A 21,494-nucleotide genomic window follows, 5' to 3' on the forward strand; every position below is an offset into this window, starting at 1 on the left:
CTGACCAACATATGCAAAGTGTTTAGACAAGTACCACATACCATGATAGTTACACGATAATGTTAAACTATCATGAACATCATCATTGCTAATTGGGGCTTCATTTTTCTAATATTAAATATGTTTTTGCTTGGATATCTCTTTAAATTCTTCAAATTAATAACTATAAATACTTTATTCTGAATATACTAATTAGGGAAATAAAATATTTCCAATAATTTATACTTATGATTTGGATTATAAGTTAACACCTTTGTATTCATGTACAGAGCTCTTATGTTAAATACTATAGTAATATAAATGTATATCACATAAACATCCTATATTAGTGTCTAAATTTTGTAATCCCAAGATTAGCAGTGCAGTATGATCTCTTAGAAGTTTATCTAACATCAAATGATAAATAAACATAATATTTGGTTTTATATAGTGACATTTAACTATTTTGGTGTGCATTCCATTTGGAATATATTCATGGGATTTATTTACCTCTGACCTTAGGCGAGACACTTCCTATCTTTGAGTGTCATGTTCTTCATTAATAAATATCTCATAGACAAGATCTCGAATCACAAACTAGCAGACCTGAGTCTACCTGAAGAAACATTTTGATGTATTAGCTCAGTGTTTAAGGCATGTTTGAAACTTAAATGCTTTCAGTCAGGGCATGGTGTCACTAGTTCCTTCAGTCTCTGCCACTCAGAATTAGCTCATGTGTAGCCACTTCATACATTTATGCTAGTTGTGTGACCACGGAAGGAATTTGAGATTTTGGCTCTTGACCTATATCTCTATGTTCTCTTCCACCATTAAAGTTGTCTATTCATGTGACTGTTCCCATTTAGAAGAGAGTTGAACAAATGGGTCCTTTTTCAATCCACTTGTCCCTATCATTACACTTTTTGATGGATACCTGTAATTGTCCTAGTCCCCTCAGAAGAAATGCTTTCTTCTGTTCTGTTGACACGCAAGTTAGTCATAGGTCCCAGAGAATAACATTGTGGTTTTTGTAAATGCTCATTGTAAAGTCTATCAAGATATTTTGAGAAAAATTTTATTCTTAATTTCTCTGAAATTAAGAATTATAAATAAAGTAGCAAATTAAAATTCTACCTTATCGTCTAATTTTGTCATTAACTATTTTTATTTCTTCTTAGAATAATTTTTGAAAACTTATTAATGTCATAACTAGAACTTATTTTGAACTTAATAAATGTAGTTGGATGACTTACCCTAAAAAAAGAAATGATAAATGACCTTGATAAGAAATACATGGAATTTTAGTGGCCAATGATTGAGATAATGGGATAATTTAAAGGAAAGTGTTTTGTACTCTCTGAAAAAAAGTATCATATCCAAATTAATGTGGTTATTTTTAGTTCTCTACAAATATGAAGTTGACCCACTATTCTTAGTATTAATAATACTACTTGGAAAATTGTAGTTGTCATTCAGTAGTTGTAATGGATTACTGTATAGTCAAACTGCATTATAAACCATGCCAGAATATATAGAATTATATTATATATAGAACATAGAGCTGGTACTTTTTTAAACTTTAGGGGAAAATGTAATGTAACTTTTATAAAATATAAAGATCAAACTGGTATCATTGGCTAAGTTCAACTTATAATCATAATTGTAGAATGATTAGAAACACTCCCATTACTTAAAAGGAAGGAACTTGTAAGATTTACAAGTGATTATTTGTTCATAGTGCAATTCAGCTAGAAATTTAATGTTATAGATTTAAGCAAAACCATCAAAGCTACCTGGTGGTTTCACAGTTCTACTAAACCTGGATGTGCATGCTAAAATGCTAATTCATAGGTCTTCCCCTGCTTAGTGTCTATAGTTCTGTGTCTTCTCTTTAACCTAATATTATAATCTTGAAAGAAATTTTAGGAATGATTCCAGTCTGAATTTATATCCGTAGAACCTGAGAAAGTCAAACAATTTTTAGAATAATATGTGTTTCAGATAAATATTTACATCAGTATAATAAATAGTTCATTCATAAGAACAAAATTTCATAACTAACTTTCTTCCAGGAAAACAGAAATTTCTGAGACTCCAAGGTTTTTTTATACCTAGGATCCCAAGCTGCATGTTGTTATTTTTGCCATATTCTATTTGTCAAAATAACTATTATAACAAGGCCAGCCCAGATTCAAGAGTCAGTGAAACAGAGCTGTAAAATTTTCTTGCCATGTTTTCAATTAACTATATCATGTGATATACTTTGGCCACTGGTACACTGAAAAATGTCTGCGACTAGGGCTAGTGTTCTGGAAAATAAGAGACCACAGGAGAGAGGCCCCACATTTAGAACAATCCCAGCTACACTGAACAATTCCAGCCACACCAGCCTCGGACCTACATATATGACCATCCAGCCCTAGCAGAACATCCTGGGGATCAGAACCACCGAGCCAAGCCACATAACCTTGTGAAACTATAAATGTTGATTGTTTAAGCTACTAAGTACCATGTAGTATAAGCTAACTGATGATAATCCCCTTTCCTGCAAGTTAGAGAACAGGAAGTTACCATGTAGAATATTGGTTCCAAACTGTAGCAGCTGCTAGAGCCAAAAAACTGAAGCCTCATGCTAAATCTTTTCATAAGCATCAATAGTGGAATGATCCCCCAAAGGACAAAATGCTTTCATGGCCATCTTTATGGCAGAAAAAACATCTCTCTTTCAAATCTTGTATAACAGTGTCTAATAAGCTGAAACTAAATCACATCCGGAACCCTACCGACAGGGAAGTCTGCAAAATGTAGATTTTAGCCCTTCAAAATTGACAGCACAGGAATTCATATTAGGAAGCTATAATAGACAGTGAGCTCCAATCCATCATATCTGCTATAATCAGCACAAGTTCTTTTTCCTTTGGTAATTGTATTCATTTTTATGGATTTTGAGGATATAATTTCCTATCAGTTTAATGAAGAAATATGTCAAAACTCATATTCATAGTTTTTTAGATATAGGAAATAATTTATTTTCAAATTGTGAACTAATTAACTTGTATGCCAAGAAAGATGGTGTTTATTCTCTAGGACCAGAGTTCCCTGTAATTTTCTTAAGTTTGGAATGGTGGGAAATGCTCTTCTTTCCAGTCTTCATCCTCATCGCCTGCTAGCTTACTGTTACCACTTTTTAATGCTTTAAGGCCCATATATAAGCTATTACCTTTACTAGAACCTCGAGTTTCTTTTCTCTCTACCTCCAAAGTATAATTAACACATACCCATCTTTCACTTCTTACCCTAAGTATCACTTTCTGGAAGAGACTTCTCCGGACTCCCCCAAAGTTGATCAGGTTCTCTTGTTACAATAAGGAAAACTTTATAAAGTAATCATCCCGTAGCATTGTATATTTCTTCCTGTGGTCTGGTGAATAAGAGATGTCTAAATTAATTTTAGGATGGGAACACCTAACAAAGGAGCTAGCACTGAGAAAATATTTGTGAATGTATGTATGTATTTATTTTTATAATTTTTAAAAAAATGTGTGAGCGCATGGTAGGTGTATATATTTATGGGATTTATGGAATACATGAGATGTTTCCACAGGCATGCTATGTGAAATAAGGACGTCATGGAGAATGAGGCATCCATCCCCTCAAGCATTTATCCTTTGAGGTACAAACAATTCAATTACACTCTTTTAGTTTTTTAAAAATGTACAATGAAATTATTATTGACTACAATTACCCTGTTGTGCTATTTTATAGCACAACATCTGTTCTATTTCTTATTCATTTGTTCTAACTATTTCTTTTGTACCCATTAGCCATCCGCATCTACCCCTCAATCCCCCACTACCCTTCCCTGCCTCTGGTAACCATCCTTTTACTCTCTATGTCCGTGAGTTCAATTGTTTTGATTTTTAGATCCCACAAATAAGTGAGAACATGCCATGTTTGTCTTTCTGTGCTGAGCTTATTTCACATAACATAATGATCTCCAGTCTCACCCACGTTGTTGTAAATGACAGGATCCCAGTTTTTTATGGATGAATAATACTCCATTGTGTGTGTGTGTGTGTGTGTGTGTGTGTGTGTGTGTGTGTGTGTGTATACCAAATTTTCTTTATCCATTCATTTTTTTGATGGCCACTTAGGTTGCTTCCAAATCTTAGCTATTATAAACAGTCCTGCAACAAACATAGGAGTGCTGATATCTCTTCGATGTATTGATTTCCTTTCTTTTGGGTATATACCCAACAGTGAATATGGTAGCTCAATTTTTAGATTTTTACAGAACATCCAAACTGTTGTCCATAGTGGTTTTACAAACTTACATTCCCACCCACAGTGTATGAGACTTCCATTTCCTCCACATCCTTGCTAGCTGTTGTTATTGTCTCTTTTTGATATAAGCCATTTTAACTGGGGTGAGATTATATCTCATTGTAGTTTTGATTTGCATTTATCTGATGATCAGTGATGTTGAGCACATTTTAGTATGTCTGTTTGCCATTTGTGTTCTTTCTTTTGAGAAATGTCTATTCAAATCTTTTGCCCATTTTTTGATTGGGTTATTGGATTTTTTTCTTATATAGTTGTTTGAGTTCCTTATATATTCTGGTTATTAATCCCTTGTCAGATGGGTAGTTTGTAAATATCTTCTCCCACTCTGTGAATTGTCTCTTTACTTCATTGATTGTATCCTTTGATGTGCAGAAGCTTTTTCAACTGGATGTGAGCCCATTTATTTTGCCTTGGTTGCCTGTGCTTGTAGGGTCTTGCTCAAGAAACTTTTCACTCAGACCAGTGGCCACAAGATTTTCCCCAGTGTTTTCTTGTAGTAGTTTCATAGTTTGAGGTCTTAGATTTAAGTCTTTCATTCATTTTGATTTGATTTTTATACTTGATGAGAGACAGGGATCTAGTGTTGTTGTTCTGCATATGGATATCCAGTTTTCCCAGTAACATTTTTTGAAAAGACTGTCTTTTTTCTCCAATGGATGTTTTTGGCAACTTTGTTGAAAATGAGTTCAGTATAGGTGTGTGGGTTCTCTCTTCTGTTCCATGAGTCTATGTTTCTGTTTTTTATGCCAGTACCATGCTGTTTTGGTGACTATAGCCCTGTAGCATAATTTGAAGTCAGGTAATGTGATTCTTCCAGTTTTGTTCTTTTTGCTTAGGATAGCTTTAGCTTTTCTGGGTCTTTTGTGGTTCCATACAAATTTTTGGATCTTTTTTCTATTTCTGTAAAGAATGTCATTGGTATTTTGATAGGGATTTCATTGAATCTGTGGATTGCTTTGAGTAGTATGGACATTTTAACAATACTGATTCCTTCCATCCATGAACATTGAATATTTTTCAATTTTTTTGGTGTCCTCTTTAATTTCTTTCATCAATATTTTATAGTTTTTTTATGGAGATCTTTCACTTCCTTGGTTATGTTAATTCCTAAGTATTTAATTTGATGTGTGGTTATTGTAAATGGGATTACTTTTTAAATTTATTTTTCAGATTGTTCACTGTCGGTATGTAAAAATGCTACTAAATTTTGTATGTTGATGTTGTATCCTGCATCTTTACTGAATTTTTATCAGTTCTAATTGTTTTCTGGGGGAATCTAGGTTTTCCTAAATATAAGATTATATCATCTGTAAACATGGATAATTTGACTTCTCCCTTTCCAATTTGGATGTCCTGTGTTTCTTTCTCTTGTCGGATTGCTCTAGGTAGGACTTCTAATACTATGTTGAATAACAGTGGTGACAGTGGGAAACCTTGTTGTTTTCCAAGTCTTAGGGGAAAGGCTTTCAGTTTTTCCCCATTCAATATGATACTAGCTGTGGGTCTGTCATATATCACCTTTACTGTGTTAAGGCATATTCCTTCTATCTCAAGTTTTCTGAGGGTTTTTATCATGAAGGGATTTCGAACTTTATCAAATGCTTCTTTCAGCATCAATTAAAATGATCATATGGCTTTTATCTTTTATTTTCTTGTTATGATGTATCATATTGAGTGATTTGCATATGTTGAATCATCTTTCTGTCCCAGGAATAAATCCCACTTAGTCATGATGAATGCTCTTTTTAATGTATTGTTGAATTTGATTTGCTAAGATTTTGTTGAGGATTTTTCCATCAATAGTCATCAGAGATATTGGCCTGTAGGTTTTTGTTTTGTTTTGTTTTGATGCGTCTTTGTCTGATTTTGGCATTAGGGTAATACTGGCCACATAGAATAAGTTTGAAAGTATTTCCTCCTCCTCTCTTGTTCAGAATAGTTTGAGTAGGATTGGTATTAGGTCTTCTTTAAGTATTTGGTAGAATTCAGAAGTAAAGCCATGAGTCCCAGGATTTTCTTTACTGGGAGATTTTTAATAATTGCTTCGATCTTGTTGTTTATTATTGGTCTGTTCAGGTATTGGATTTCTTTCTTGTTCAATCTTGGTAGGTTGTATGCATCTAGGAATTTGCCATTTATTCTAAATTTCCCAGTTTATAGTCATTTAGTTGCTCATAGTAGTCACTAATGATCTTTTGAATTTCTGCAGTATCAATTATAATGTCTTTTTTCATCTCTGATTTTATTTATTTGAATCCTCTCTCTTTTTTTTTCTTAGTCTGGCTAAAAGTTTGTAAATTTGTTTAACTTTCCAAAAATCCAACTTTATGTTTGCTTGATCTTTTGTATTACTTTCTTCATTTCAATTCCATTTGTTTCTGATCTGATCTTTATTATTTCTTTTCTTCTACTAATTTTTGGTTTGATTTGCTCTTACTTTTCTGATTCTTTTTTTAATGCATCACTAACCGGTTTATTTGATGTTTTTCTTCTTTTTTGATGCATGCACTTGTAGCTGTAACTTTCCCTCTGAGTACTGCTTTTGCTGTATCTCATTGGTTTTTATATGTTATGTTTCCACTAACAGTTGTTTCAAGAAATTTTTACTGAGAAAATATTTAATAAAATTTAACTTAATGAATGGATAAGGCCCTTTTATATTCCAAGAAATATCTTCATATTTACCTTTGGTAGCAAAGATCACAGGGCTGCCTGGTATACAGGAGTGCGCAATATCTGGGTTGAGCTTACCTTGAAATGAGATTACTGTCTACTGCAGAGTTTGATAGTTAAGATTATGTGTCAAGTTGGCTAGTACATGGTACCCAGGTTTTGGTCAAACACTAGTCTAGATGTTGCTGGGAAGGTATTTTTTTAAATGTAATTAATATTTAAGTTAGTAGACTTTCATTAAAGCAGATTACTCTCCATAATATGGGTAGGCATCATCCAGTCAGTTGAAGCCTTCTGAGAAAAGACTAAGGTCTCCTCGCAAAAAAGTACTTCTGCTTCCAGATTGTCTTTGAACTGGAGCTGCAATATCAACTCTTCCCTGCATCTTCAGACCACAGGAATGCCCTGCAGATTTTACACTTGCTAGCCTCCACAATTATGTGAGCCAAAATTCCTTAAACTGAATCTCTCTCTCTCTCTCTCTCAGTAGGTGTGTGTGTATACGTATGTGTTTGTTTGCATCTGTCTGTGTGTATGTTTGTGTATGTTAGGTGCAATAATAATTAAATGACAAGAACGATTAAAGTCACCTTCAAGGGTTCGAATGGGTATAAAAATAACTGAAAATAAGTAGAGATTCTTATCCTTGGTAGATAAGTTCCCTCATTTCCCTTTCTGACTAATAGACAGCATAGAAGGAAGAGAGGGAAGTAACCTACCAAGTTCAAGAATCTTTATTTACTACTAGTTATTTACTTCTCATACAAACCCTGGGAAGTAAGTTTAATTACTATTGCCATTTAACAGGAGAAAAACTCACTCCCAGAAAAGATAATATGTACAGCAGTGTGTGGTATGAAGCAATGCTGAAAACTCAGTGTTATCAGTCTCCATAACCTCTGTTATTCTCAGATTATCTTGCTACCTGCTGTTTGTGAGAGGAATTGTTTGACTATCCTTGTATTAGCTAGAAAGAGAGAGCAGTGTGTTCCTGAAATAAAAGAGACTCTGGAAACTAGAAGAGGGCAAAAGATAAAACCTTAACATGTTATTGGAAACCTACATAATTGTCACTGGGGTTTTACTAGCAATCTTTATCCTGCTACTTCCCTTAATTTCAGAGATGATAAAACAATTTCCCTGGCTTTTTTTTCAGGGCTTTTTTCCAGACCCTTATTTTTTGTTACCCATTAGTGAACTTGGGAAGGTTTTTATTTCTAAATTTAGTGCCTAATTCTCCTGAAGCAGGTTTCACATTTGGATATTTCATTAAGATTGTCCTGGGACAAATCTTTGTCCTTCAAATGCAGAGGGAATAGGGACTATTTACTTCCTATTCTGCTATCTCTATGTGCCTTTGAGTGAGAACAATTACTGGAAGAGTTGCCAAAATTATAGTAAATTTAAGGAAATTTAAAATAATTAGATTTCTTATACTATAAAATAAGGGACAGCCTTCAAAGTCCAAAGCCAAAGTCATTTCTAAAGATCTCTATTATTTAGAAGTTCCCTGGAAAGCATCTCACACCTATTTTTAGAATCATAGGATATGATGACCTTAAGACACTATACTAGAGGCAATTTATCTGAGGCTGTCTGAGTGGTTGGCATCTTATACAGTTAGAGAGAGAAAGGATTTTCTGATGTTAATAGTGTGCTTTCTTTGATTGATTTTTGTTTGGAATGCTGTCAAAATATTTTAGGTAATAACATGAATTAGTTGCAACGTAACATGATTTTAAAAGCTAAAAAAATTTTAGACGGCATGAAACATTGTAAGACAATAGAAGGGAATTTTTTTGCCACAAATAGTGATAAAAATATTATACATTAAAAATGCAACCACTTTTACACAAACATGCATAAATAAATGTACTAGATGTCACAGGGGAAATTCAAATGAAAATCTTATTTTTCTATTTTTGAGATGTTTACCACTTATTAGGCGTGACAAAGCAAATACAAAGGAAATGTTAGAAGAACTAGAATTTAATCACAGCTTGAAAGAGCTATAAATACGGTACTACTCTTGGTTTATCATGCAAAGGGAAAATCGATTTCAAGTCCAGGTGACCTATGAGCTATACCTTGAAGGACATTTTGTATTTCAACATGTTTAGATGTGCTGAAACTCTTCCAGAAAGAGGTGCAGTCTATAGAGATGCAAAGAACAAAAGGAAGAAGAGAACGGCATTCATTTGAAGCCAACACAAAAGCAGTAGCTGAAATAATTTTTCCAGAGTGCCACAGCAGTTAAGTAAAAGAGGCAAAATTTAATTCAAAATGTTTCTAGTTCCAAATCGTATGTTTTTCTAAAACTGTATTGGGAGAGCAGAGGAACATACTCAGCGTTCATAGGTTCTACCTGGAGTATAGGGTGTGGATCAGTGTAAAATATAAGATAGGGAAGTTAAAGATTATGTTTTGGACCCTGGTTCAGGGGATGTCCTTACTGTGTCTAACTGATGTGTTTCAGGCTCTTCCTTCAATATGTATTGCGAATAGTGAGATTTATTACACAGTCCTAACATTGATGCAGTTTAGTTGCTTGTGGATGGTGTTGTCAGGAAAAAAGGTAATATTTTCTTCTGAACTCATGGTTAGAAAGGGCAGGAGAAGCTGGAAGTAAGATATCCTCCATCCTCCTTAGACATATTTACATCACCTCTTCCAGGTTTGCATATTGCTTACAATCAATACAGAGAAGAGAAAACAAAGGAAATATGTGATAAGTTGATAAATTACTGCTACAAAATTTAAATTCTGGCCCTAAAGCAATAACAAAGTAGAACATAGTGAAACAAGTACACAAAAGATTTAAAACTGGGGATACAGAAGTTCCAAAGCAAGGAGAAAAAAGGAAATTATTATAACTGGACTTAAAATTCAAAAAAATGGTATTTAGAACTAAGAAATTAATTTGAGTGAAATTAATGTTAGAATAAAAATAAAATTGAAATCAACATGAGGGAAGAGTCTAAAGCATGCATATATGATTGAAAGAGCAAGACAACTCACAGGAAAAGCTAAAAATCAAGTAGAAGCAAGATTTTGACTGGAAAGAAGCAGCACGAGTGAATGGATGGAAATGAAAAAAAGATCTACAGAGATATCCACTGCAAGAGGAGTTTTCATCGCCAGGGCACCAGCTTCTCCAGTTACCTTCCCCTGTAAGTGGGACCACAGGCCTTCCTGTGGAAGAGCCCTCAGTGACTAAGCAGCATACTCTGCTTTTCTCATTTCTCCCTAGTGGCGAAGCTTCAGACAGGGTCTTCAGTCATTCTCTTATTTGGAAACTTCTCCCAATCATCAAAACCCCAAATGAGTAGAAATTGAAGAATCCGCTTTTTATGAAACCACTGCTACTCTAATCTTTTTATTCTTGTATTTTTCTAATTACATATATCACTATTTACCTCCATTTTGTCTTTCACTTACAATACTATTTGCTTTTCTTTGCCTCATTTTAACATTTGGATAAAAAATTATTTGTATGTATTTACACAAAGTGCTTCAACTTAAATAGTACTGTTCTTTAAAAGAGAGAATGAGGCCTGGCGTGGTGGCTCACGCTTGTAATCCCAGCACTTTGGGAGGCTGAGACGGGCGGATCACGAGGTCAGGAGATGGAGACCATCCTGGCTAACATCACGAAACCCCGTCTCCACTAAAAGTACAAAATATTAGCTGGGCGTGGTGGCGCGTGCCTGTAATCCCGCTACTCAGGAGGCTAAGGCGAGATAATGGCTTGAACCGGGGAGTGGGAGGTTGCAGTGAGCCCAGCTCGCACCACTGCACTCCAGCCTGGCGACAGAGAGAGACTCTGTCTCAAAAAAAAAAAAAAAAAAAAAAGAAAAGGAGAGAGAGAGAATGAAGTTGACTTCAAAAATTTGGTTGGTTGTTTCTTAAACGAAAGCCTGCCATTTTTGTGGATGGTATTATCGTTCCAGAATGCTAATGCAATAACGACATTGCAATGAAGCTAATTCATAGCCAGAGAACTGCTGTTTAAGCGACTATGTTGTGAATCTCTTTCAAACTACATTTTTATGCACGTTGTTTTTGTTTCCTAATATTTCTATGGTCTTGCATTTCCAGCTAGACTGTGTAATCCCTTAGGACAGGGACAGTATATTTTATGTCCTTCATAGCTCTTTGTAGAGTGCTAAGTAAAATGACTTTTTAATGAATGTGTGGTGAATTAATGATACAGTTCTTATGTGCATATAACAGGACTCATGTGGCACCTCTAAGTTACCAAGGGTTTCAAGTTAACCTGCAGTTAAACGAAAGTGACTAGCTTCTTGAAAAAAATAAGCTTTTTCTAAATTCTAATAGTCCCTAATCAAATTTGCAAAACAGACAAGCAAAAAATAAAAAAACAAAAAATGAATAAAACACAGTTACTCAGGAGCCAGCCATTTCAGAATATTGTTTATTCAATTGCATTTTGCTGATTTATTCCAGAAATCTTAAAGAATTCCTGTGTAGTGCACATCTTTTCATTTTGACAGAGATATACATAAAGAGTAAGGATTCCATACATTACTATTTGGCAAGAATACGTACTATATTGGCGAGGTTCCGTTGTTTATTTTATTCAGATATTTGTATTTCTTAAAAGGCTTACATGGAATACTGTGTGTATTATGTAAAACTGAAAGTTCATTCTTCATGCTGCATATGGTTTTCTTTTCCTAACTAGTAAAAGATGTACTGTCCTCAGTGCATTTATACTGGCTCTGGTTCAATGCAAATCTTTGATAACTTAGTTTTCTTAAGAGTTATTTTAAGTTGTTTACTTCTTGTCACTGCAGACTAGCTTAGAATCTGCTTCTTGGGATCTCACTACTTTGCCATTATACAGTCTTTCTTTCCCCCAACTTGAATGTTTCAATGGATCATTCAGAATTTATTTATAAATAGTATCATAGGAATTTTTTTCTTTTTTTTCTTTTTTTCTTTTTTTTTTTTTTTTTGACAGGTCTCACTCTGTTGTTCAAGCTGGAATGCAGTGGCATGATTTCAGCTCACTGCAACCTCTGCCTCCTAGGTTCAAGGGATTCTTTCACCTCTGCCTCCTGAGTAGCTGGGACGACAGACGCGCACCAACACACTGGGCGAATTTTTGTAGTTTTTGGCAGAGAAGGAGTTTCACCATGTTGGTCAGGCTGGTCTCAAACTCCTGATCTCATGATCCAACACAGGGCTAATTTTTGTAATTTTTCATAGAGAGGGAGTTTCGCCATTTTGGCCAGGCTGGTCTTGAACTTCTGACCTCAAGTGATCTACCGGCAAAAGTGAGGAATTTTTAAAGGACTTTCAAGTTATGATCAAGTGGGTGCTACATGAAAAAGACATCCAAATTTTCTTCATTTACTTTATTCATGAATTTTTTTTTAATTTGATGAGATATCACCCTGTAAAAATAACCATCTTGATAATCCATTCATTAATAAAACCTTAGAAACTGCCACATTTCTTTAGATTATGTTAAGTCAAAAGACAGGCCAAAGTATCTGTGCTCTCTAATGATCTTGGTCTTTATTTTCTTCACCAATTTAAAATACACTTTCAGGGCCTGGGTACTGTGGCTCATGCTTGTAATCCCAGCTCTTTGGGAGGCCAAGGAGAGACTCTGTCTCAAATAAATAAATGAATGAATAAATAAAGCACTAGGCCAGCGTTTCCATAAGACAACATATGCAGCCTTATCCATCAGTATTAATGAATCCATCCATTTAAAACCTCAGTCTATACTGACCACAGTGGCTTTGATAAAAACAGGAAGGTCAACATTATTTTCAAGTGAGAAAAAATAAACAACAATCAACCTGAGGAGGCATAGCCTTCTCCATTTATCACAAGTCCCACCCTTCCCGGAAAGTATGATGCAGAGACCTTGTCCACCCCTTCAGCCCCTATAAACTGTTGAGCTTGTGATCCTTGCTTTAGAACATATAAAAGACAGGTGGATAGAATGAAAAACTGTGAGGGGTAATAGCTGACTTCATTCAGAATATGGGTGTAATCAAAGGAAGGTTGGATGAAGTAAATGATCTGAAATTGAGGAATATATCCAGGTTTAGATCATTTAAAGAATTCCTGCCTTTGGATCTAACAGCCAGTTTTGCATCTATTTGTGTGTGTGTGTGTGTGAATTGCTCATATTCATGTAATTTCACTTTGATTTTTGTTACGTAAGATTGATCGTATTGTTATAAAAATAATAACACTGTATTGATTCCAGGATTCAGTGAAACTCTTGAATTTAATAATTAAAATAATAATGCTAATAGTAGTAATAACAATATCAGAGAAACATTATAATGATAATAAAACATTTCAAAAAGGATATTACTTCAAGTTGTCCAATGACTTACCTGACATGTTTTGAAGTTATGCACACAAATACAAATGGTGGCTTTTTGTAATTCAATTTAAAAAATTTCTTATCCTATTTTACTGAGTTATTCTGATTTTTACATTCTATAAATTATTTCTCTTTCAGATATCTATCCTAGAATTCTCTAATTTCTAAATTATATAGGAGTCATTTGCATAAAATTCAATATTTGTTAGATATAAAAATATTCAAGTCTAGACAAAAAAAATCAAAATCAATTGTGCACTAGTTTGGGTAATGTTTGCTGCTGTAATAAACCCCAAACTGAACACAATAGAACTTTATTTCTTGCTCATGTAACAGTTCAGTGAACGTGCTCCTGCTTTGTGGGTGGCTTTTCTTCATTGGGTGGTGCAAGGATTCAGATTTCTTCCTTGTGGATCTGCACCCTTAAGGGACATAGGGTCTCTTGAATTCAAGTAGAGAAAGGGGAACGCTTGCACAGAAGGCACACTGGCTCATTTTGGAATGGAAGAGCCACTTCTGCTCACAATTTCATTGGCAAAAGTAGTCACATGGCCACACCTAGACACAAAGAGTATTGGTAAATAAAGTCCCTGGCTAGGTAGCTGCTTTTCAGGAAAAAAAAAATACATGAAAGGAGAAGCACAAATTTTGGTGGGCAACGTGCCATCCACCACAGGCAGTCTTATCTGCCAGCATTAATGAATCATTCCATTTGAAATCTCAGTCTATATTGAGGTTTAGACTGAGGTGGCTTAGGAAAAATAAGTGGCTCTGATAAGCAGGGCCATCTTTTTTTTTAATAGAGAAACAAGTAAACCAAAATACACTTTAGTGATATGTTCAATAGAAAAGCATCATTTAAAAATTAATGTAGTATATTTTTCCTATAGAGAAATAATTGAGAACAGTAAACACTTAAAAAATAGTCAAATAACAAAAAATGCTTTTCATAGGTTGCTATGGTCTGAATATAACCTCTTAAAATTCACATGTTGAAGTCCTAATCCCAACGGAAGGTATTAGGAGGTAGTGCCTTCAGGAAGTGATTAGGTGATGACAGTGGGATTAGCGCCCTTACAAAAGTGGACTGAGAGAGACTCCCTGTCCCTTTCACTATGTGAGGACATAGTGAGAAGGTGTTGTCTATGAACCAGAAAGTTGGTTCTTGCCAAAGAAAGGATCTACCTCGAAGTTAGATTTCTAGCCTCCAGAACTGTGAGAAATAAATTTCTGTCATGAATAAACAACCCAGTGTGTGATATTTGTTATGGTAGCCTTAACGGACTAAGACACAAGTATATTGTTGTCAGGTAAGTGTAGGAGGAGGAAAGAAGAATGCAACTAGAAGGAAAAAAAAACCAATACATTAAGGAACAGAAAAAAAAAGAAGAAAGCAGAAAAGATAGAGGCAGTAAAAATAGATCCGTACAAAGTAAGCAGCAGGGCAAGAGAGAGGAGAAAGAGACCAGTAGTGCACAGGGTAGAGAGAGGCAGGTTTTGAAGTGTGTGCTGAAAGGTAGGCCCAGCTATGCACTTTGGTAACGGCCTTTAGAGCATTTTGGACTCTTCATCTATTTGAACTGTGGTAGAGCTGGTTAACCTTGCTGAGAGCTCTTCAACCCCTTTAATCCCAAAGTCTTTGAGGCTCCACTCTGAATGGAATAACTAGAACAACCCAACAGGATAGAATTTAATTTCTAAACCTGGCTATCAGCAACCAGAAGAGCTACATGATATCAGTGGCAATTGGTCTTATAGTTAGTTCATTCTTCCTTTGAGGCATACATTCAGATAAGTAGGTAAATCATACACATGTATATAAAATAGGTAAATAATATATAAGTATTAAGATCTCTATTGGACTTGGAAATTAGATTAGTTTTAGAGCAGCATTAAACAAATACTCAAAAATCTGTCATAAATGTACTTAACTAACTAGCTTTTAAAGAAAAAACTGGATTGTGTGCCTCCATGTCTTAGTCTATTTTGTGTTGTTATAAAGGAATACTGGAGGTTGAGTAATTTATAAAGAAAATAAATTTATTTGGCTCACAGTCTGCAAGCTGTACCAGAAGCATGATATAAGTATCTCTTTTTGGTAAGGGCCTCAAGAAGCTTTCATCATGGAGGAAGGCTAAGGGGAATAGGCAGAAAGAAGAGGGCAAAGGAGAGTGAGCAAAGAGGTGTGTCACCTTTTTGAATAACCAGCTCTAACTAATAGAGCTAGAATGCACTCATTATGGTGGAGAGGACACCAAGCCATTCATGAAAAACTTCCCTTACAACCCAAATACCTCCCACTAGACTGCACCTTCAACATCATTGGGCATCAAATTTCAAAATAGGTTTTTGAGGGGACAAATATCCAAACTATATCATGCCACTTTATTTTATTTTATTTTGTTTTGTAGAGACAGCATCTCCCTTTGTTTCCCAGGTTGGGCTCAAGTGATTCTCCCACCTCAGCCCCCCATGCAGCTAGGACTACAAGCATGTGCCACCACATCTGGCCAATCTTTCTCATTTTTGTAGAGATGGGGTCTCGCGATGTTGCTCAGTCTGGTCTCAAACTTCCGGCCTCAAGAAGTCCTTTCACCATGGCCTCCCAAAGTGCTGAGATTACAGCAGTTAGTCACCACACCTGGCTCCATTGTGCCACTTTTAACTAAAAGGCACTTTTTTCTCAATATTTATATTCTCTTTCTTTTCAAACTACTAATCCAGGATTAGATAACTAGACTAGACTTAGACAAGTCTCTACACAAGCAAATCATAACAACATCAAAAACAACAAAAATTAGATTATAATAGGACTAGGCACTAGGTTAGTGTACTTTAGAATTTATTTTCATTTAATCCAACAGAGATTCAATAGCTGTTCATTCCAAATTTGATATCCATAAGTATATTTTTAAACTTAACCTAGGAACCTGTGCATTTTACTCTGTCTGGTATGACAACGGGATTAAAGTGTTGGCTCTAGTTGAGTAGGGAATGGGCAACAATACTATAAGTAAAGAGCAATGTGAGACAGACAGGTCAAATAATAGGAAGTTACTGGGTGATTTAGTTAGCCAGACAAGGGAGGTTCCACTGTCATGGTTGACCATGAATCCAGGATCCAAGGAAGAAGTCACTGGCCACTGCAATTGGGGAACCAGTTGCAGATGAGTGTCTTCCCACTCTACATTTACAGCTGAATCTTTCTTTCCAAAACCCACTGTGGGTCAGATATACCCTCACTGAATTTTAACTGTATTTTACAAGAATCAGGTAATATTTCAAACAATTTGAAAATAAAGCATTATTTCAAGTGTACAACTAACCCAGTCTGTTTTTACTTGAAGTAATTTTAGCTTATTTTGTTTTACCTCCAAATAGAGAATACCCTATTTGAAGATAAAAGCTGTTGTATAAATATAAAGCAAGATAACAATCAGGGTAGCCTGAAGGTTGAAATCGAACCAAAGAAAATAAATTCAGAACAACAAATTACTGTAATACTTTTATTTAATTTGATAACTTTCAATCATATAATGCACTGCACAAGTTATTTGGCAAGAACAAAAATAGTGTAGAAACTCATATCTTACCATATATCAAATTAAGTTTCAGAAATATTGTTAGTTAAAAGAAATAAAAAATTATAATTCTTCGTAAAATTTATCAGACTATGCTGTTAGCAGCAATAGCACTATTTATCATGAAAGTCAAAGGAAGGGACCATAATGAAATAACTATATTTGACTCCACACAATTAAAAATTTTGTATAACAAACACCACAAATAAAATGACAGAGGACACATAAGGAGTTGATGCAATGTTTTCTTTTTCTTTCACTTTTTTTTTTCTTTTTTTTTTGAGATGGAGTCTCCCTCTTGACGCCCAGGCTGGAGTGTTGTGGCACAATCTCAGCTCACTGCAACCTCTGCTTCCCGGGTTCAAGTGATTCTCCTGCCTCAGCCTCCCAAGTAGCTGGGATTATAGGCACCTACCACCACGCCTGACTAATTTTTGTATTCTTAGTAGTGACAGGGTTTTGCCATTCACTGTGTTGGCGAGGCTGGTCTTGAACTCCTGACCTCAGGTGATCCAACCACCTTGGCCTCCCAAAGTGCTGGGATTATAGGCATGAGCCACCGCGCCTGGCCAATTCAGTGTTTTCTTAAAAAAATAAATAAATATTTTTAAATAAAAATAGTTGATATTGGTTAGATTAATATACACATTGCTGGAAACATGTAAAGTTGGGTACATGTACCTATACATTTTTAAATAAATTGATTCATAATTCTGTTTTCAAGAATTTATTAAGCAAAAGTAATCTGAGATATTGATAAAGATTTACATGGTGCTAGTATTTATAATACCCTATTCTAGAAACTAAGCACCCAAACATCTGGCAATAATTAAATTATGATATCATAAGATAAGATGATACAGCCATAAAACAAAAATATTTTCAAAAATTTTGTTGATTTGGAAAATTTGTTTGCATCATTATTATTAAATTTTTAAAAGTTGGCTTACAAAAATTATATGTACTAAAAGCAACTAGTGCAGTGATTGTTTTAGACAATGGAATTATGAGTAATATTTTCCCTTTACATGTTTTCTATTTAATTTTTCTACAATATGTATTGCTTTATATTAAGGAAATGTTTATATGAAGAATATTTGATGGGCCACTGGAATCAAGATGAATTTTGTGGCCTATGAGCTGAGATTGCGTCAATATTGCCAGGTCTTTGGCTTCCATTTTTCCTGAGATGTAGGACTAATGGAAGATTGTGAGCAGAGAAGTGACGTCTGATTTAAGTTTATAAATACCTGCTAATAGTTTCCTTCATTATACCTTTACGGCAGTGTCCCTCTGTCTTTGCAAATGCCCCATATAAGGCATAGCAAATGCAGTGGCCTGCTTGGACCAAGCAGATACTTAAGTGGATAAACAGTGACAGATGTAAGTGCATAGGACTACCTACACTATGTGGCTGGTAGGAACACTAATAAACTATCTGAAGAGGACATCTGCTTCTCAGCTCCTCATGACTTCTGTCATTTAGAAATGTGGGCAAGTATTTCCTGACTTGATATGTTATTAAGAAAAACTGGAAATATAGATTTTTTATTAATTTTAAATTTTCTGAAATATGCGGCAACAGACACGGTATAAATCTAGCTTGGAATGTTAGTTTTCAATCTTTCTCTTGTTCTCAGTCATAGTGTCCTAGAATTTGTAATGTTCCTGTATAGTCTTGATAGCTCTCATGTCTGCCCTCTGGTTGTCCCTGTCACTCTGGATTTAATCTACTTGGTTTATCTACCTTGTCAGTCTTACATATTGATCTGAATGTTATTTATTTTTTTCCTGAGTCTACACAATGCCTTTCCTAGACATTTACTTCTTAGTTTTCATTCTATTGCATTGTTACAGTTTAAACTATACTTTTTTAAAGCTCAATTTCCATCTTTTTATAATAATCTTGCTAACTCAGAGGCAAACAAGTTACAAAAGATGTATTTTTTAGACAACACTTAAAAAATACAGAATTTGACCATTTCTTGAGATTTAATCTTACATTTTATAATGGGGTCACTGAAATCTGAATTGACATGTCTGGCCTACTTTTAATTAGGCCCTCTTTTAATATAACCTTTATTAAGAGGAACTTGATTTCCATTGGGAGAAAAATGAGTGCAATGTGATATAAAAATTGCAACTATGAGAGATTCTAATGTTAATGTAGGGAAAATTTCCAGAGAAATTTTGAGGATGTGTTTATGATATACTAGCTATACATAAATAGATTATTTTTAAAAATAGAACTGGAGCCATATATCATAAATTCATCTAATTTAATTTATAAATTATTACTAGTCACTCAAATCACCATATATTCCTGAAATCAAGTAATATTTAGACTTGGCTCCTGAGTATCATAAGAGCATGGGGTAACATGATGGACAAACTCGGTGGGTAAAATACTCAAAGAAAAAGGAGAGTATGCTTCATTTTCTTACTCTTCTCAACCCTAAATATTGGTACCATTTACCTTCAGGGAAAGACTCAACAGACCCTGGGAAACTCAGACTAAAAGTTTTCAACATATTTAAACATTGAATATCTCTAACAGAAAGCTGAATTTGCATTTCTGTGAAATTCATTGATTAGTTGTACCATACACAGACAGAGGTAGAGTTTCCAATCAACTTATTCATGTTTTACTCCTAAATAAGTTAAGGAATACCCATAAAATTAAGAATTTAAATAAAAGAGGTTAAAACTACCCTAAAAATGAAGATTTTCAGGGTGCCAAAGATAAATTTAAAGAAGTTATAAATTATTGTCCTGAATTAAATGTAATTGTATATTGTATCTCTGAAACAAAAAGTGAATTATATATTTTTAAAACTCAGAGAACAAGAGAGAACTTTGAGAAATTAAAAATATGAGAGCCAAAATAAAAGTTCAGTATATGAGGTGGAAATAGAAAATTTAAAGCAATAGAACATAGAAAAAATAGAAAGACAGACAATGGGGAAGGAAAGAACCAAAAATTAAAGTTCTTTAATATAAGGCAAATTCTGTGTTATTGTGCTGACTCAAACTTGAGAAAGTTATTCATTTTTATGTAGCAGATATGAAAGAACCACAAAAGTCTGTGGAAGAAAGGGAATTAAAAAAATAAAAATATACTTTGGGAGGCCGAGGCAGGTAGATCATGAGGTCAGGAGTTCAAGACCAGCCTGACCAAGATGGTGAAACCCCGTCTCTACTAAAAAAAATACAAAAAAGAAAAAAAAAAATTAGCCGGGCATGGTGGCACGCGCCTGTAATCCCAGCTACTCTGGAGGCTGAGGCAGAGAATTGCTTAAATCTGGAGGGGCGGAGGTTGCAGTGAGCCAAGATGGCGCCACTGCACTCCAGCCTGGGCGACAGAGCGAGACTCTGTCTCAAAATATATATATACTTTATTTCTCAACATAAGCTTCCTAAAGTGTAAGACGCTTTTGTAAGTGATGATACCAGTCCATTCCTACAGAACTGAGTGTTCTCGGGACTTAACCATGTCAATATAATCTTTTTACATTACTAACTGAAGAAAATATGTGTCCTTTAAAGGCTTTCTTAAGATTAGGAAGCAAAAAGAAGTCAGAAGGAGCCAAAGAAGGATTGTAAGGTGGACACCTGAAGATTTCCCATCAAACTCTTGCAAAATTGCCCTTATTTGATGACAGTAATGAGCAGAAGCATTGTTGTGTGGAGAAGGAGTCTCTGGTGAAGCTTTCCTGGATATTTTTTCTGCTAAACCTTTGGCTAAGTTTCTCAAAACACTTTCAAAATAAGCAGATACGATTTTTCTTTGGCCCTCTAAAAAGTCAATGACAAAATGCCTTGACCATCCTTAAAAACTGTTGCCATGACCTTTGCTCTTGACTGATCCATTTTTGCTTTGACTGGATCACTTCTACCTCTTGGTGGCCATTGCTTTGATTGTGCTTTGTTTTCAGGGTCATACTGGTAAAGCCATGATTATCTCCTGTTACAATTTTTTTTGCAGAGAAGCTTCAGGATCCTGATCCTACTTGTTTAAAATTTCCATTTAAAGCTCTGCTCTTTTCCATAGCTGATCTGGCCACAGTGGTTTTAGCACACATCAGTGGAGTTTGCTCAACTTTACTTTCTCAGTCAAAATCGGGTAAGCTGAACCAACTGAGATATCTAAGATACTGGCTGTTGTTGGTGCTGTCAATTGTCAGTCTTTCTCATTTAGGGCACGAACAAGATTAATTTTTCCTCACAAATCAATGTGGTTGGTTTCATTTTGAACATCACATCATCTTCTCCTTTCTTAAAATAAGTCATTTGTTTGTAAGCTGCTAATTTCTTTGGGGCATTGTCAACATTAACTTTTCATAAGGCATCAGTGATTTCAGATAATATATTGTCTCATTAAAAAGATTCTAGTTCTCAAGAAGGTATAACCTGACAATCTAAAAAGCTATTATATGAATTTTAAAGTGATTTTTAAAAATATGCTTTTTGAAAAACGTGCATTCAGTGACTTTAAGTAGTTTTGGGATATATATTTTTATTTACACACACATTTTGCCATATGT

The 21,494-nt window shown here is 34.7% G+C and overlaps 1 protein-coding gene across 1 annotated transcript in view; it reads left to right on the top strand.

The window, feature by feature from the left end:
- ADGRB3 (adhesion G protein-coupled receptor B3) overlaps nucleotides 1-21,494 on the top strand; it is a 754,225-nt gene that overhangs the window by 30,282 nt on the left and 702,449 nt on the right. The gene's annotated exons all lie outside the window — the stretch shown is intronic.

This window comes from Homo sapiens, chromosome 6, assembly GCF_000001405.40.
Source record: "Homo sapiens chromosome 6, GRCh38.p14 Primary Assembly".
NCBI classification, from domain to species: domain Eukaryota; kingdom Metazoa; phylum Chordata; class Mammalia; order Primates; family Hominidae; genus Homo; species Homo sapiens.